The 17,685-nt window shown below is 43.2% G+C and overlaps 1 long non-coding RNA gene across 1 annotated transcript; it reads left to right on the plus strand.

Moving 5' to 3' along the window:
• Window positions 1-1,425: 1,425 nt before the first annotated feature.
• LOC124903315 (uncharacterized) lies at window positions 1,426-10,497 on the plus strand. Its single transcript, XR_007064164.1, has 2 exons — window positions 1,426-2,058; window positions 7,147-10,497. It is a non-coding gene; the product is annotated as an uncharacterized LOC124903315 (long non-coding RNA).
• Window positions 10,498-17,685: the final 7,188 nt, after the last annotated feature.

Genomic DNA, 17,685 nt, shown 5'->3' on the forward strand with positions numbered 1-17,685 from the left:
TCACTATGGCATAAAAGGCCCCACATGATCAGGGTCCTGTCTTCTGTCTGTCACATCCTATACCTTGTCTAAGAAGCTCCAGCACAGTGGCCCCTCTACTCCTTGAACAGGCTGTGCTATTTCCCATTGCAAGCTTTTGCACTTGGTGTTTATGCTGATGCCTTCCATTTGCCCTTCTAGACCTAATCTTCAGTCTTTCTCATCTTGTTCTGTGTGCCAGTAGGCTGATGGTGTGAATTGCATCGATGAACACTCTTGCTTCCTGACTTCCTGTTGGAATTGGCCAATGGGAAGCACTAGCAGGAGATCAGAGAGAATGAGGAGGAGATATTTATTCAGGGTATTTACCACCCCACCCCTGCTCCTTCCTTGCTGGCTAGTTACCTGAGGATGGTTGCATCCCTTTACCAAAGGCCACAGCTCCTATCAGGGGTCTTCTCCATCTTTTGGTAGCCACTCCTCCCTTTGTCCCTGCAGGCCAGGGGTGCTCATGGTTCCCCCCACTTTTGGTAGCCCTGGGTAGCTAGTTTCATTAAGCTCTACCTGCGCTTTTGCACATCGTCCCTTGTGAGTGTCTTCTGCTTCCTATTAGGCCTCAGCTGTCACATTGCTCGTTCTGTAGGCTCTCTGCATGCTGGTTCATTCTTTTCCTTGAGCTCAGCTCAGATGTTACCTTCTGAGGCAGGAGTAAAGGGAGGGAAGAAAGGGCCCCCCGACTCCTCCTCATCTCCCTGCCCACTCCCATGTCCTGCTTTATGCTCTTCACTTATTTATTTATTTTATTTAACATCTTTTTCATTGTGGTAGGAATACTTAATGTGAAACCTACCCTCTTGCCAAGTTTTTAACAGTGCAATATAGCATTGTTTATAATAGGCATAATACTGTACCACAGATCTCCAGAACTTTCTTATCTCACGTAACTGAAACTTTATACCTGTTGAATAGACACTCCCTATCCCATCCTTCCCTCCCTGCAGCTCCTGGGAACCAGCATTCTACTCTCTGCTTCTATGTGTCTGACTATTGTAGATACCTTATATAAATAGTGGAATTACGCAGTGTTTGTCTTTCTGTGACTCTGGCCTTCACCCTTTTTTTTTTTTTTCGAGATGGAGTCTTCCTCTGTCCCCCAGACTGGAGTGCAGTGGCGTGATCTTGGCTTGCTGCAACCTCCGCCTTCCAGGTTCAAGTGATTATCCTGCCTCAGCCTCCCGAGTAGCTGGGACTACAGGTGCATGCCACCATGCCTGGCTAATTTTTTTTTGTATTTTTAGTAAAGATGAGGTTTCACCATATTGGCCAGGCTGGTCTCAAAATCCTGACCTTGTGACCTGCCCACCTTGGCCTCCCAAAGTGCTGGGATTACAGGTATGAGCCACCACGCCTGGCCCCTTCACTCTTTTTAACAACATATTTTTAATTTCTTGCATTGAAATCATAATTTGACACTATTTTTTGTTGTTGTTTTTTACTTGTCTCTTTTAACTGGACTGTAAGCCAACAATAGAAGGAAACTTTTGTGTTTCACTCACTACTGTGTCCCCAGTGCCTAGAACAGGGCTTGTACATAGGAAGCAGGAAATAAACTTTTTTTAAAAGAAATGAATGGGGAGCTGATTTTTCATGCCCTTGAGAAGCCAAGATCTCGAGGCAGGCATATGTGGGGGTGTCAAAAGCAGGTCAGGAGGTCGTCTCATTTCCTTGTACTTTCATTGCATCAAGGTGCTAACACTGCTTCTCAGGTACCATTTGTTAACTGAACCATCAATGCTTAGGAAGTAGAAAGGAAGAAATGAAATAATTATGTTTCAGATTGAGCCCTTTTCCTGGAAACTTGGAAGAGTGTTCCATACCATCCAGTCTTTCTGTCACTTTTACCTATTTCAGGTGTGTCCAGTCTCAGCTGGGAATGGAAGATGCTTTGCATATCTTTAAAATCTTCGGGCCATAGAGTTGGGGAGAGTACAGAAAGAATACCACAGAACTTTTATGCCAGAAAATGGCAGGTGCTCCAAGGGCTATGTTGGAATGCTTGGAGTGCATAAAAATACCAAGGTGAGTGCCTAGCAGAGGGTTCTCAACATTAGACCTAAGTCATAAACTCCAAAGGTTGTTTTCAGGAATCTGTACTTTTAAAAGTTCTGAAGATGCATCTGGGGCCAGGATGAGGGCCACTGGTCTGACATAAAGAGGATGGGCTCTGCTTAGTTCCATAAATTCAGGGAGTTAATTATGTTGTTTTAAATTTCTTGAACCATTAGCACAGGGCTGATGAGCCAAACACCTTTTATGTTTGAATCAATAGATGTTTCTTCCCATGTCTTTGGGAATATTTCACAGTAGAAGTTGGGGTCTTGAAAAGTTGGCATTTGAAGGCTAGTGTTATTTTTTGCTTACAAAATAAGAAATTGATCTTTGGAAAGCAATTTAGGAATCTTATTTGGCCACAGTGGCATTGAGACCACTCTCTTTCTCCCTTTAAGCTTCATTATAACTCGAGTCCATTGCATAAAGCTCTTTTTATTGTAAAATGAGACCCCCATCAGGATCCTATAGACAGTTTTATTTCCTCTTGTTGCTTTCGGTACTCCCATACCATATTTCTGTAAAGGGCAACCTTACATTGAGTTTGGCATTGCTGGGTAGGCATTGCTGTCTTCAGGAGCCTTCTTCAGCTCATTTCTTTTTTGTTTGTTGCTCATAAAATAGCAGGCATCTGTGCACCAAGCTGATGTATTCATTGGTCCATGTACCTTTTAGTCCTTGTGTGTACATTTAGGTTGTACAGACTTACAGTAATATTACTGCTAGAATTCTATTATATATCTCTTCCATTTATATTATGCCATGAGTTTTTTTTTGGAGACAGGGTCTTACTTTGTTACCTAGACTAGAATGCAGTGGCATGATGATGGCTCACTGCAGCCTTGACCCTCCCAGGCTCAAGCAATCCTCCCACCCCAGCCCCCCAAGTAAGCTAGAAGTACAAGTGTGTGCCACCACGCCCAGCTAATTTTTAAAAATTTTTGTAGAAACAGGGTCTCACTGTGTTGCCCAGGCTGGTATTGAACTCCTGGTCTGAAGCAGTCCTCTTATTTCAGCCTCCCAAAGTGCTAGGGTTACAGGTGTGAGCCACTGCTCCTAGCCCAAGTATTTTTCAGATCAACTTTACTGAGTATAATTTACATATAATAATAAACTAGTACAAATGATTGTACAAGTGGTTGAGGTTTTACAAATGTATTCATCTTGTAACTATTACCAAAATCAAGACACCAAATAGTTTTATTACCCCAGAAAGTTCCCTCATACCCTACTATGGTTAATCTCTCCTTCCATTTTTGGCCCCAGGCAACCACTGATATGCTTTCTGTCACTACAGATTAGTTTGCATTTTCTAGAATGTCACACAAATGACATCAGACATAGTTATGATTTTGTGTCTCAGTTTTTTTGCTCAGCAGAATATTTTCACATGTAAATATTTTTCATTTTGCTCATCTTTTTTCCATACCTAATCTTTCTACCACTATCACCATGACTGCTTTTTTTTTTTTTTTTTTTTTTTTTTTTTTTGTGACAGAGTCTTGCTCTGTCACCTAGGCTGGAGTGCAGTGACATGATCTCAGCTCACTGCAAACTCCGCTCCCCAGGTTCAAGTGATTCTCCTGCCTCAGCCTCCTGAGTAGCTGGGATTACAGGCACGTGCCAGCATTCCCAGCTGATTTTTTTGTATTTTTAGTAGAGACGGGGTTTTGCCATGTTGGCCAGGCTGGTCTTGAACTCCTGACCTCAGGCCTCCCAAAGTGCTGGAATTACACTTTGTTGCTCATAAAATAGCAACAAACTGTGCCCAGCCACCACTACTGCTTTCTTAAATCAGATAACTTAAGCTTGATATGTATATTTCCAGCCCTCTATCAATATTCCTACAAACATATACACATACAAGGGAGCCTAGGTGATTTGGTCTGTAAAAGTCATCCTTACAAGATACAAAATAAGATGGCAAAGGGAGGGCAGAGAATGGATTTGGAGGGGCAAAGGGAAAATAATCAACAGAGGTAGGTAGGTATTTCTGTTTAACAGATGAGAAAACTGGGAAACTCAGAAGGATCCTACAGTTAGTCAATGGCAAACCCAGCATTCCAACGCAACTCTTCTGACTCCAAATCTCATCTCTTATTTCCCTCCAAGAGGGTTTTTTGCTCCATAAAATTTTGAAGGCCCTGAGGGCAAAGAAATATAGGGCCTGGAAAAAAGGTAATGTTAGTGATGAGGATAATGATAATGATGATGATGGTGCTGATGGAGGTAATGATGATGATAGTGATGATGAAGATGGTGATGATGGCAGTGATTATGATGGTGATTGTGATGGTGGTACTTTAAAGCAATGATCCCCAACCTTTTTGGTACTAGGGACCAGTTTTGTGGAAAACAGTTTTTCCATGAACCAGAGTTGGGGATGGTTTTGGGGTGATTCAAGTGCATTACATTTATTGTGTACTTTATTTCTATTATTATTGCGTTGTAATATATATGATCAAATAATTATACACCTCACCATAATGTAGAATCAGTGGGAGCTCTGAGCTTGTTTCCTACCACTAGATGGTCCCATCTGGGAATGATGGGAGATAGTGACACCCAAAGTGTGTTGGTTATGTCCAGTCTACTCCATAATCTCGTTTGGGTTGCTGTCACTGCAGAAAACCCTGCTTCACAATGATAGAAAGTTGGAAATGGAAGGAGGATTTTCAGTGCTTTTATGGCAATCTCAGGACATTCCAACTTGACTTTAATCCAAAAGATACGGAGATTTGAAGTTGTCTCAAATGTGCTTTTAAGGCCACCAGATGCAGTTGTACAATTGAAGGACATCAACTCACTTGTTGCTATAAAGTCTGCCACCAGATGTAGCTTGTCACTTGCCACTCACTGATTTGATAGGAGTCTGCAAGTAATTGATTTATTATGGTCTCTGTGCAGTCAAACCTCCCTGCCAATGTTAATCTGTATTTGCAGCCACTACACAGCACTAGCATCACCACCTTAGGTTATCAGGCATTTGATTCTTCTAAGGAGCATGCAACCTGGATTCCTCACATGCGCAGTTGACAATAGGGTTCATGCTTCTGTGAGAATCTAATGTTGCAGCTGATCTGACAGGAGGCGGAGCTCAGGTGGTAATATGAGCAATGGAGAGTGGCTGTAAATACAGATGAAGCTTTGCTGGCTTGCCCCTCATTTCCTGCTGTGCGGCCTGGTTTCCAACAGACCATGGACCAGCGCTGGTCCATGGCCTGGGAGTTGGGGACCCCTGCTTTAAAGAACACCCAGATCCAGGGAAAGCTGAAGGTAACAGAAAATAAAACCCCCCCTTTCCACAGTGCTTTCACCTGTTTTTTTCTCATTTCATCCTTACTACAATCCTGTGTGATGTGTATTATGATCATTCCCATTTTAGAGAACTTGAATCCAAAGCAATTTTTCAACAATGAGCAAGAGAAGCAGGTGATAAACATTTATTCTGCTTTTTATATTCCTAGTGTTTGTAAAAATCAGTTCCAAGTCTTTTAATGGCACGTTAGGCTTTCAATAAATTTGGTAAAAATCACCAATTTTTCATGCTTAAAAGCAAATTTTGTTCATGCCAAGTTACTGCTAAACTGTTGAGAAGGAATGAATTGAAGTATATTAACTTAGAGGGATTTCAGTTTTATTGTCACTATTATCTTTAGATGGGGAGATGAAGATGCAGATAAAGGCATATTAGTAGGTCCCATTTTGATTAAATATATGTTAAACATTCCTTCTTAAGCTATGGTGACCAGCCGGTAGGGAGAGAGAAAGAAGTCAGGGGGTTTCTTCCCCCATCTCTGCCCCCTTCCCTCCTTGCTTGGCTGGGGTTTAAGCAGATGGCCACAGATCCTGCTGGGCAGCCCCTCTCCCACAGCCATGTCCCTAATGGCCCTGACAAGGTTCCCATAACATCATCCCTTCTTCTTGCCCCTTAGACTTAGGGGCAATAATTGCTTCCTGCTGTTCCTGGTTGCTGATTGTTTTACCATTCCCTTTACCCTGCCCATTACTAAGCTGATATTGCTCAGCTCCTCACCACCCTTTTTTATGCCCTGCTTTTTGGTACTGGGCTGTGATGTTCCAAAAGACATCCCTCTTTGTCAGCAGCTCTCTGTCGGTTCTGCCAATATAGGGTGCTGTGGGGAGCCTGCAAGACTGGAGGGAGGAGCAGGGACCCATTCCTCCTTTTGCTTGTGCTTCCCCTTAGACTATCCTCAGCAGCCATCCTTCCTACAGCAGCCTTGGGATGCAGCCTCCCGTGTTTTTCTGGCACTCTCAGGGCCGTCCTTGTGCTTGCTCTCAAGGACCTGTAATAACCGGGCAGCCCCTCTTCAGAGGCCTCAGACCCACATCTGCTGCCCTGCTCCGAGCTTCTGGGTGACAACACTAAGCTCTTCCCTTTGTTTCCTGGCCCGAGTGGTGCTAGCCTGTCCTTCACAGTTGCTTTTCTGTGTTACTTTTATGATTCCTTTCACATATTCAGATCTCCAACCCCTTTCTTTTTTTCTTTTTATTGTGAAAAACACATAAATGTTACCATCCTAACCTTTTTAAGTGCACAGTTCAGTGGTGTTAAGTAGCTTCACATTGTTTTGCATCTAATCTCCAGAACTTTTTCATCTTACAAAACCGAACCTCTCTGCCCTTGAAACAGATCCCCATTGCCCGTCCCCCAGCCCCTGATGACCACCATTCTACTCTCTGTCTCTACGAATTGACTACTTTAGATACTTCATATAAAGATCTCCAATCCTTTCTTTATATTTAATTCACCTTATTAAAATAATCAGCACAGTTTTTGTTTTCCTGATTGGACTCTGACTGATCCATCTCTGTAAATAGTCCCTTCTTTAAACAATTTTCAATTAAACTCTTTGAATGGCCATCTGATCCATGCTGGGACCGCAGCTGATACACTATGGAATTACTGGGGAGGTCAGATGAAGATTAGGTTAAAATAATAATAACAGTAAAAACTCTTTTAACTAAAAAGCACTATATATTATAATTCATAGTAGTAATAATTTAAGTGAGGCCACATCTGAGCTTCCCCTGCAGGGCCTTGAAACACTGACATCCAGAGAAGAAGAATAATAAACAAGAAAGTGGCTGCAATGCCAGAGTTTCAACAGATCCTTTGTGGCTCTAGAACTGGAACTCTGTCTCCTTTTCTAAGACAGGATGTGGGGAATCTTATAAAAAGCTTCATATTTGTATTCACAAGTTAATGTGGGAAAGAAACCAGGATTTCTGTGTCCTTAAGTGATACGGAGACTCTGGCTCCAGCAAGACAAGGCTCCGATCCCAGATGTCAGTCCCCAGCGATTCAGGGACACTTCAACATCCTGACTTCAAATGAAAAATCAGGTTGCTTTTCGAGAGTTGTAAAAGACTGGAAACTCCCTGACCACTCGCCAACTCACAGATGCCAGAAACTCTGCAGCCATAGCCCTGGCCAGAGATTTTTCTGGCAGAGTGGGGTCCCCTGACCTCTTTAAGAGGAGCACTGCTTTCTGAGGGCTCAGAAGGCAATCTGAGGCTCCAGCATCTTGGCCAGGGGCTGTGAAGAGACAAGTGGAGCACAGGGTGGGGTATGCAGGGAGCAGGAGGTATCATGGGCGGGCCCCTCAGGGAGGGCCGTGGATTATTCAAAAGTGCCCTGGCCTGCTGTGCATTCTGGAGGATATTCACCATCAACCCTGCCAGGAAAGAAGGCCTCACAAAACACCAGGTCTGAAGGAAGGATCAAGGAATTTCTTTGACAGATGTTAATCAAGAAAACCTGAACACCAAGGGAGGCTATTGCTTCCTCCTGAAACTATTTGACTGGCTTGGTCTCTTTGTACTTGGGTGGGACTAACCATGAGAAAAAGCTCATCTGTGTGAGTTTCGTGGCTCAATGTTATGGGGTACAGACGTGAGCTACTCCTCTAATGTCCAGGAGCTGTATCAATCCCAAGAAATGACTTGCAATATCCTGCATGTGTGTGTGTGTTTTCAGGGAGGGATCTGGAACAATTTTCTGGGGCCTGTAAATGTAAGCTGATTCACAAGATGAAGTGCCCCCTCCCTGCCTCTTCCCCCATCCCGGAATTGAGAACGGCTCTAGATTATGAGGCAGAGGAGGCTGGAGCAATGACTTTCCTCCCGGAATACCCGACAGTACCCTGCCTGGCAAGCCTTGTGTACTGTCTTTATAGGAGTACTTACTAAACTGAACATATAGAAGCAGCCTTCAACTTTTAGGAATCCACATACATTCCTCCCATCCAGAAGGTTAGCTTGTGATGAGAGATTCTTTTGGGGATCTCATTAACAGTTTCTTCTGTTTGTGGGATGGCTCTTCCCAAAGGGGTCTTAAAATCAGAGAACAGGCCTGGCGCAGTGGCTCATGCCTATTATCCCAGCACTTTGGGAGGCCAAGGTGGGCGGATCACGAGGTCAGGAGATTGACCATCCTGGCTAATGCAGTGAAACCCCGTCTCTACTAAAAATACAAAAAGATTAGCCAGGCGTGGTGGCGGGTGCCTGTAGTCCCATCTACTCCAGAGGCTGAGGCAGGAGAATGCCATGAACCCGGGAGGCGGAGCTTGCAGTGAGCCGAAATCAGCCACTGCACTCCAGCCTGGGCAACAGAGCGAGACTCCTTCTCAAAAAAACAAAACAAAACAGAACAACAGAGAACAAGATACTCAAGTTTGGGAGGCTAAGTGCTAATATTGGTTTTCCTACCAACTCTTTTTTGTCCCAGTTACATCATCCACAAATTCATAGTCTCTCCCCCTCTCTACTACTCAATAAAGTTATTATGGGGAATTGTGATTAAAAAATGAGAGGAAGGAAATTTGTAAACTCAAAGTTGTAGTATTAGTGTAGCTAGATGAAATAAGAGTTGGTTCCCCTTCCATGTTATTAGCGGAGAAAAAGAGACAGATTGAGGGAGGAAAAAGAGATGTAGCAGGATATTGTCATTAAGATCACAGCAAACTAACATGACATACTGTTGGTGAGTAGGTAAGAAAGATAGCTCTGAGTCCCTCACTTTAAGACACGTAACGGAAAGGAGTCAGAACATTGCAGGAAGTGAAAGGACTATTTGATTCATCATTATCCTATTCTTAGTTGGAATTATTTTCCTCTTCATTTTAGTTATGACCACGGGTCAGCCAGACATTAAGACAAGAGCACAGGGTTACAGTGTGGGAGCCCTATTTAATTGATTCCAGAATGCACATCTGTCACATCCTAACATCTCTGGGGATCAGCTCATGGTGTTGGTCAGGCTCTGTGGAGATACAGTCGTTAATAATATCATGGCAGTTCACACTGTCATCATGTCAATTGAATTGGATGCATTGTTGATGGTATAGGTGTTGAATTTAATTGCGTTTAGAAGATCCTCAAAAAATTATACTATGATTTGACATTAAAATGAAAAATTACCTTGTGTGCAAAAAGGCGTAGAAACAGAGCAGCAGGACTTTAATTTGATATTAGTGAAGCAGATACGCATGGTTGGAGGAATGAACACAATAGTGCATAATTTTTGCAAAGTAACAACCGAACTGCTTTCTGGAGCCTAAGAGAGGAAGAGCCATCCCTTAAGTAGAAGAAACTGTTAATGAGTTTCACAGAAGGATTGACCATCACAAGCCCAGTCGAGTGACAGCAGAAACTGCTGGCACATCTTGGATGAATGAAAGAAACGTCAAAGCAATCAGAGGCTTGCATGACTGGATAACTATAGTTAAAGCAGTGTATCATGTCGTCTAAAGGATGGTGTTGCTCCTGGTGACTCATAAGGTGTGTCTTAGGATCAATGGAAAATGGTACAAATGTAAGCTTATAACATTCAGGGAGTTACTACCATTTTTAAAAGAAAAGGCAGACAGACCTAGTGCCTCTTTTGCTGGTGGGCTTAGTCTTTTGAGAATCAGTACAGAGGTCGGCACATGGCCGATCAGGGACTATGTGCCTGTGGTGCTACTTGCCCTAATGACTCAGAACACACAGGAGATAGGACAGGTCTCAAGAGTGTGGAGGAATAGAGCAAGTGTCCAGGACCTGTCCTCCTTCTAGACATGTGAATGTGAGATGGACAATGGATTTTTTTAAAAAAGAGTACAGTTCTTTATTTAAAGAAAGAATTTGCAGTTTTGGAATGCTTCTTATAAACCAGCAAAAACTAACCCTAGATTTTAAAAAAGCCTAGCAGTTTCAGCACCCTACAACAAATATAAAACGTTTTAAAGTAAATTCAACTAGTAAATATTTAATCATCTCCAAGATTATACCTTTAAATTTATGAAGCATGATTATTTTATGAGTATATTAAATTCTGTATGATGAATTTTTAATGTCCCTAAAATAACAAAATTACTTCAGATTAATAAAAGGACCAGAAACAAATATTGCATATATCTATTTTATTTCTGCCAGATTTCTATTAACAATCAAGACATGAGTAAAGAGAATATTTTCAAGCTTGTGTCCTCATCCATCCCATCCCATCCCCACCTTGAATTTCCTCAGGTGTGGATAAACCTTTCTAGACATTTCAGGTTTTTAATTCTTCAATATGTTTATGATCGTTCTTAATCTGGGCCCCATCGCCAGCGTTCCATGGATAGGCTACAGGGAACCCGTGTACACTTGAAATTATATAAACAGTCCTGAGCACTGTGTGCATTTTGGTGGTGGTAGGGAGAGGTATTCTGGTTGTTATATATTTCCTAAAAGTGCCCATATTTTAAAGAATGAAAGCATCCATTAACCACTGTTGAGCATTTTGGATTTGTTGTGACTTGGTCCTTGGCCCCTCCTAGACGTAAAATGGGAACTTTTAGTGAGTAAGTATTCTGCCTTAACAGGAGGCTGCGTCTAGACCCAGCAACAAGGGAGAGGGAGATTCTTGAGCAACAAGACACCCGGGAAATGGCTTTGTGATTCCGTCTTGGTTTTGGGATTTGGTTGCCAATGTGTCCCTGCTCTTCCTCAAAATAAACAAAGAAAAGCCCCTGCATTCCTGTGCCACCCAGGTTCAATCTGGAACTTTGAACTTTGTTTTTTTTTTTTTTTTTTTTTTTTAAGTGACAGAAACCAGGTCCCAATCATTGAGTTTTCCTCTCCCTCTGACGGGGTCAGAGATCTCCAGACTGTGATATGGATAAGACTGGGGGAGGCTGCAGGGGCAGCTATCCAGGCCATTCGCCACTGGTGGTGACTGTTATACTCTAATTTAAAAATGCAAAAAAAAAGGTCAGGTTGAATGGAGTCTCATTGAGTTCCATGAAATTCCCCTACCTCATGGGCCTGGCATGGCCTAAACTGATGGTCAGCCTCTGAACATCATAGGCTGGGCCGTGACTTAAGAGTCAAGACGTTTCAGAGTAGCAGGTATCAGCGTTGGAGATGTTTGTTAAAAAATCTCCAATCCTTGTTAAAAACAAGCATTTGTTTTTGGTGGAGAGCTTGTTAAAAACACAGGTTCCTCAGATCACCCCCAGAGATTCTGATTCAATAGGTCTAGGGTGGAATCCTGGAATTGGCATCTTTAAACCAGCATCTCCAGGTGATTGTGAGAAAGGGGCTGGAAAAGGTTTCGGTATTCCATGTGTTGAGAGCCTGGATGAAGAGAAGGACATCTGGGCCCTCAAATGTTCTGTCTTTCCTGTGTTAATTCTGTTGGGTCTGAGTCCTCTCCTTATTTTCTGGGAATGGCTTAAGAGGGGAGCCCTGCCCTCCTGAAAGGGCACTGCGTGCGAGATGAAACATTTCAGCTAAAACCATGACCAAGAATTGTCTGTCGGGGCTGTGTTTTTCCAAGCCCCTGACCCCAGCAAGGCTGTGCTTTCATCTGAAGTAGAGAATGTGCAAAGGTAGAAGTTTCTGTGGGCTTCAATCTTAGGGGAGGCAGAGTGGTATGGTGGAAGAGCACTAACCTGGGAGTCCTAAGTCATTCATTCATTCACTCATATACTTGGTTGCTTACCGTGTGCTAAGTACTGTCTTAGGTGCTGGGATTCAAGGGTGAACAAGACATAGTGCATGCCTTCATGGAACCTTCACACTAATCAGAGTGAAAGACTTTCAAAAATGGTTCTAAAGTTTCTACAGGGTTGGGGATTGGGACTTTAGTCTGGTTTTGAGACAGAAAGGGAATGGCAAAGATACTTGACTTAAAGGTGATCTTATATTGCAAAATGACTTGTCTCTTCTCATGTTAACTGTTTATTTGGAGTGGATGATGATGAGGAAGAACCGATGGAGATTGTTGAGCAGTCAAAGATGCTCCCTCACCGCCCCCTCCTGCAGTCCTGCCACACACAGCGTAACACCAAGCTACCCCTTGGTGCCACCATCAGAATAAACAAATCATTATTTAATTCATGTAATCAATCAGTTGATTAGTTAATGACAGTTGAAAGTGCTAAGAGGTACACAGCATAGTGGGAGCTCATCAAAGGACACCCAGTCCAGGGCAGGGCATGAGGCAGAGATTTCTTAAACAAGTAACTTTTAAACAGAGACCAGACATAACTAGTAAGAATGGGCATGGAAGGTGGTGAGAGTGTCAAGGCCTGGCCAGGGCAACATAAAGGTGAATGTCACAGTGAGTTTAGAGAGAAGCAGCATAAGATCCTACAGGGTCTTAGGGATTTTTTTCTTCCCACTTGCTGCTTTGTGATCTTGAGGGAGTTTCCTAATTTCCTCATCTGTAAAATGAGGGACAGGGCCAGCTCAACAAGGTAGCAGCATGGATCAAAGCTGCTTTGTAGAATGTAGCTGTACAGAAACCGAATTACTGTGAGTGCTCAGTGTCTGCTAGCTCATATTTAATTCACCTGAAAATGATAGAATGATTTTGGCAGGAGCCCAGTCGAGATCTCCCTTGGCTTTTCAAAAAACCTCATGGTAAAGGGGAGGGAGGTGAGTCTGTCCTGGTCCTGATGGCTTTGCCTGTTCAGCATCTTCTCTGGGCTTAGTCAGAGGGGGCATTTCCTCCAGCAGGCTGTCCCACTTCTGGAAGGAAGCTGTTTTTTCATTTTCTGGGTGTGCTACTTCTTTCATTTTCTTTTGTGATTTCTCTGAGTCAATGAATTCTAGCTCCTCCCCCTACCTTTTTTTTTTTTAAAGTAAGTTTGAGAATAGCAACCTTTGGTTAGACAAACATGCATTTTTTATAACTCAGTAAATATATATTAATAGAATATGCAGAGATTGATGCATCAACATGACATTTGGTGGTGTCACAGATGAGGAATTGTACCTAACATTTATTTAAATTTCATATATCAAATTCCATGTGGTTCACAAATGGCCAGTGGAGATTCTTTGAAGAAATGAAGATCTGTCTGCTCTTCACCCTCACCTCTCTTCATTGTCTCCATTTTAAGTTTGGCAAACACACACATGCAGCATTTCTAAACTGAACCTGGTTATCTGCCCTAGAGATATTATTTCCAGCACTACAAGAGTTTATATAACACCTCTCTTCCCATGCACAGATGCATTCTCACATTAGCACTTTCCCTTGATTCCATATGTGTTTATAGAAATTTTTTTGAAAGATTTATCTGACTTAATGAATAAAAGAGGCATAGGAAAAATCTCTGGGGCCCTGGGACCTAACGTTGGCTTAGCCACTTGCTAGCTGTGTGACATTATGTGGGATGAATTTGGCTTCAAGTAACAGAAAACTTGACAAGTGGAGTCTTCCATAAAGAGAGATTTATTTATGTATATTCCATAACAAGAAGGCTGAAAGTAGGAAATTGCTGGCTTGATTCAGCCTCAGCTTAATGGTGTCCTCCAGGACCAGCTTCCTTGTGTCTTTCCCTTCTACAACCCTCAGCATGTAGCTGTTTTAGCCTTACTCTTGTGGCTCTATTGCCACAAGATGCCCACCTCAGCTCTAGAGCAGTGTTTCCTTTAAGGCAGGACAAACAGGGAAGGTTGATGTCTCCATGCATGCCCCTCTTTACTGAGAAAGCAGATTTTTTTTTTTTTTTTTTGAGATGAAGTTTCACTCTTTTTCCCAGGCTGGAGTGCAATGGCATGATCTTGGCTCACTGCATCCTCTGCCTCGCAGTTTCAAGTGGTTCTCCTGCCTCAGCCTCCCAAGAAAGCAGAAGATTTTTAAGAAACCCACTCAGCAGATGCCACTGGTCAGAACTGTCATGTAAACACTCCTAGCTGCAAGGGAGACTGGGAGGATATTTAGCTTTTCCATCTTGTGAAGTGGAAACTAGCATGAGAGGAGAGGTTGGAGCCTGTAGGATTAGTCAATAGGCAGCATCTGCCACAGTGTCCTTGGACAATTTACATAGTGTTGGATGTCAGTGTCCTGATAAATTGGGGTGGCTTGACCAGAATCTAGATGACCTCTGGGGTTCCTTTATTTCTAAAGCAGGACTTCTTGGGCCTTAAACACATGTACAAATCACCTGGAGATCTTGTTACAATGCAGATTCTGGTGGTAAGGGGTACAGAACATGCATTTCTAATAGGCTTCTAGGTGTTGGTGATGCTGCTGGACCATACTCTGATTTGCGGGGTTATGAAGGTCTACAAATTGTTAGATATCTTTCTGCTTTTCTCATTAGACAAGCCAGCTTAAGACAAATGCCAAACAAAGCCCTTGAATTTCCCAGTATGACTTAGAATTCACAGAAATTTTCTGTCCATCAGCACATGTGCACATTCCTATTTTTCATCATCTGAGCTATTTTTTCATCATCTGAGCCTTTGTGTTAAGGAGATTATAAGTAGTTAGGAAGTAGGGAATAGGGAATTACTTCTCTAATTTAATTCTCATAACAACCCTAGATTACTCTCATCTTACCAGTAAGGAATTTGAGAATCAGAAACTCAGGGAAGTTGTTACTTTCTTAAGGTCATATAGCTAGAAGATGACAGGGTTTGGATGATAATAACCGAGGTCTCTGATTTCAAAGTCCATGTTTTTTTCCACTTAATCATGCTAACTCTTGCAGAGGCCTGCACGTGAGAGACCACAGAATGAATACAAGATAGGTCCCAATGGAGTGACGATTGTTACAAACCTGTCCATGCGAATGTAGCTTGTTACAAACCTGTCCATGCTAGCTAATCTCCCTTCACCCCTCCATATCCATTCCCCACCCTTTTCTGTGTCTCCGGGTAGGGTGGGAGGGGACGGACCTCTCCCTGGGCTCTGGCCTTCAGTTGGGTCTGGCTAATAGGAATTGCCTACAAGAGACTGTGAAGCATGGAAGAGATAGAGGCTGGGGTATTCATTCACCACTTTCCAAATGGTTTGGCAGTAGTGGTGTTTCTCTATGTCAAGTCCACAACTTAGGAGGCCTCTCTGATGGCTCTCATTGGTGTCTAGTAGTAGGGAGTGGTTACTCCCTCTCTTTATCCCTTTAAGCCTGGGTGATAACTGCTTCCCCTGTTGCTAGTCCCTGGGTGACCTGCCATCTCTTTTTGGTTCTCTCAACCCTATCCACTCCTCTATAAATAGTCTTTGATTATCATTTTTAGGTGCTGCCTGTTTCCTAATGAGGCCATGACTCACTCACTCATTTCCTAAAAAATGTTCAGGTAGAGGTAGATACTGTTAAACTGTTAAACTCTATAGAAGGAGGAGGTTGGGAGGCCCCAACAGTCAGAATATGAGGAGAAGTTAGGGCTTCAGCTTGACCTTGACACGTGGGGAGGATTTGCAGACACAACAGAAAGAGAACATGCCAGAAGAACATCGAGCAGAGCAAAAATTAAAGGGATGTGGGGATCTAACTGCACTTTGGGATCAATAATAGGTTGCCTGCAGTGAAACCAAGTAAGGGTGGGTTATAGGAATAATAATGCTAATGTTATTAAGTGCTCGAGTTAGTGTGTGCTAAGTGCTTTACTTGAACTAACTCATTCCATTTTCAACAGTCCTGTGATCTTGTTTTTGAAGAGGAGAAGGAAGCTGAGGTAGAGAGAGGTTAAGAGGTTAAGAACTAGTCCCAGGTTACCCAGCTCCTAAGTGGCCAGGATTTGACCCTTTGTAGTATGGCTGTGAGCCTGCCCTTTGACCCACCATACTGTGCTGAAGCATAGACCTCCAGAACCCATTGACTGTTTTGGAGCAGGGATAAACTCTGAAGAAAGTGATATTTAGGAGAGGATGTGCTGGATAGAAGGCATGCGGGGAAAAGCTGGGGGAATCTGCGGCTCTCTCTGCAGGGCATTCAGTTAGCATGCTCCACCTCCCACGAAATGCAGGGGAAAAGAGGCTCTCAGCCACATATCAATCAGATGGGATTGTCAGCTGCAGAATGATGAGGTTTATACATTTGGAAAGGAGAGCTTTATTTCTCATAAAGGGTTGCAGCCTGCAGGTGGCTATTCTGACAGGCTGGAAAACACAGCCTTTGGCCAGAAGCCAGAAACAGATACTTCAAGGGAGGGGCAAAGGGAACAGAAATTTATGCTGAGTGGGGTGGCTGAAATACATATTTAATAAGCTGTAGGAGGAGTTATAAATATGAAAGGAAAAACATACACATGCACAATTGAACTTCATGCCTCTCCATGGGTCGTATGTTCAACAAATGACTGTGTTAGCATGATCTGAGGGTAGAATTTTCAGCCCTCTGGCATCAAAGGTGAAGCATTGGACACAAAAATCCTCAGTGTACATCCTCTGTAGACTGGCCAGAACCACTCTGTGGTCAGAAGGAATGCTGGTCATTTGTGTCAAAGGCACTAAATGGGAGGGGCAGTCATGGGGTTGGTTGAAATCAATGGTGGGGCAAGCCTTTCCCAAGGACTAGTTTCTGTTTAACCCTTAGGAAAGAAAAGCAAGGGAGGAGGTATAACTAGGCCTGTCCAAACTCCCATCCAATCATGGCTCGGAACTCAGTTTTCAAGGTTTCTCTGTGGTCCCCTTGGCCAAGAGGGGGCCTGTTCAGTCAGCTGCAGAGCTTAGGATTTTATTTTTATTTCTCAGGTTCATCTGCCCTCTTCTGGGTGTGACTATGGAAGAGCTGTCTTTCCTTTTCATATGCCCCGCGTCAGAATTCTTGTTCCTTTATCTGAGTGGCAGGGAAATGGAAAGGACCGGAGTCAGGATGGCTGGGAGTGACAGCTATTGCCAGGTCCAATTAACAAAAGGGCCTGGAGGAAGTGGCTGCCCCAATCCTGGCAGAGCCCATGTGTCTGCAGGGTCTGTGTTGTCCCTGGATTTTGAGATAGCCCCTTAAGAATCAACATAATTGTTTTTGTTTTTAATTCCTCTGAAATGAATTTCTTTAGCAGCCAAGTAGCTCCATTTAGCCAGTTTGTTCTCTTTCTATTTTCCATGTGGAAATGTAGGTTAGGCTGGGCACAGTTGCTCACACCGGTAATCCCAGCACTTTGGGAGACCATGGCAGGTGGATCACCTGAGGTCAGGAGTGCAAGACTAGCCTGACCAATATGGTGAAACCTCATCTCTACTAAAAATACAAAAATTAGCTGGGCGTGGTGGCATGTGCCTGTAGTCCCAGATACACAGGAGGCTGAGACAGGAGAATGGCTTGAACCCCGGAGGTGGAGGTTGCAGTGAGCCAAGATCGCGCCACTACA

This window comes from Homo sapiens, chromosome 14 (assembly GCF_000001405.40).
Source record: "Homo sapiens chromosome 14, GRCh38.p14 Primary Assembly".
In the NCBI taxonomy this organism is placed as follows: Eukaryota; Metazoa; Chordata; class Mammalia; order Primates; family Hominidae; genus Homo; species Homo sapiens.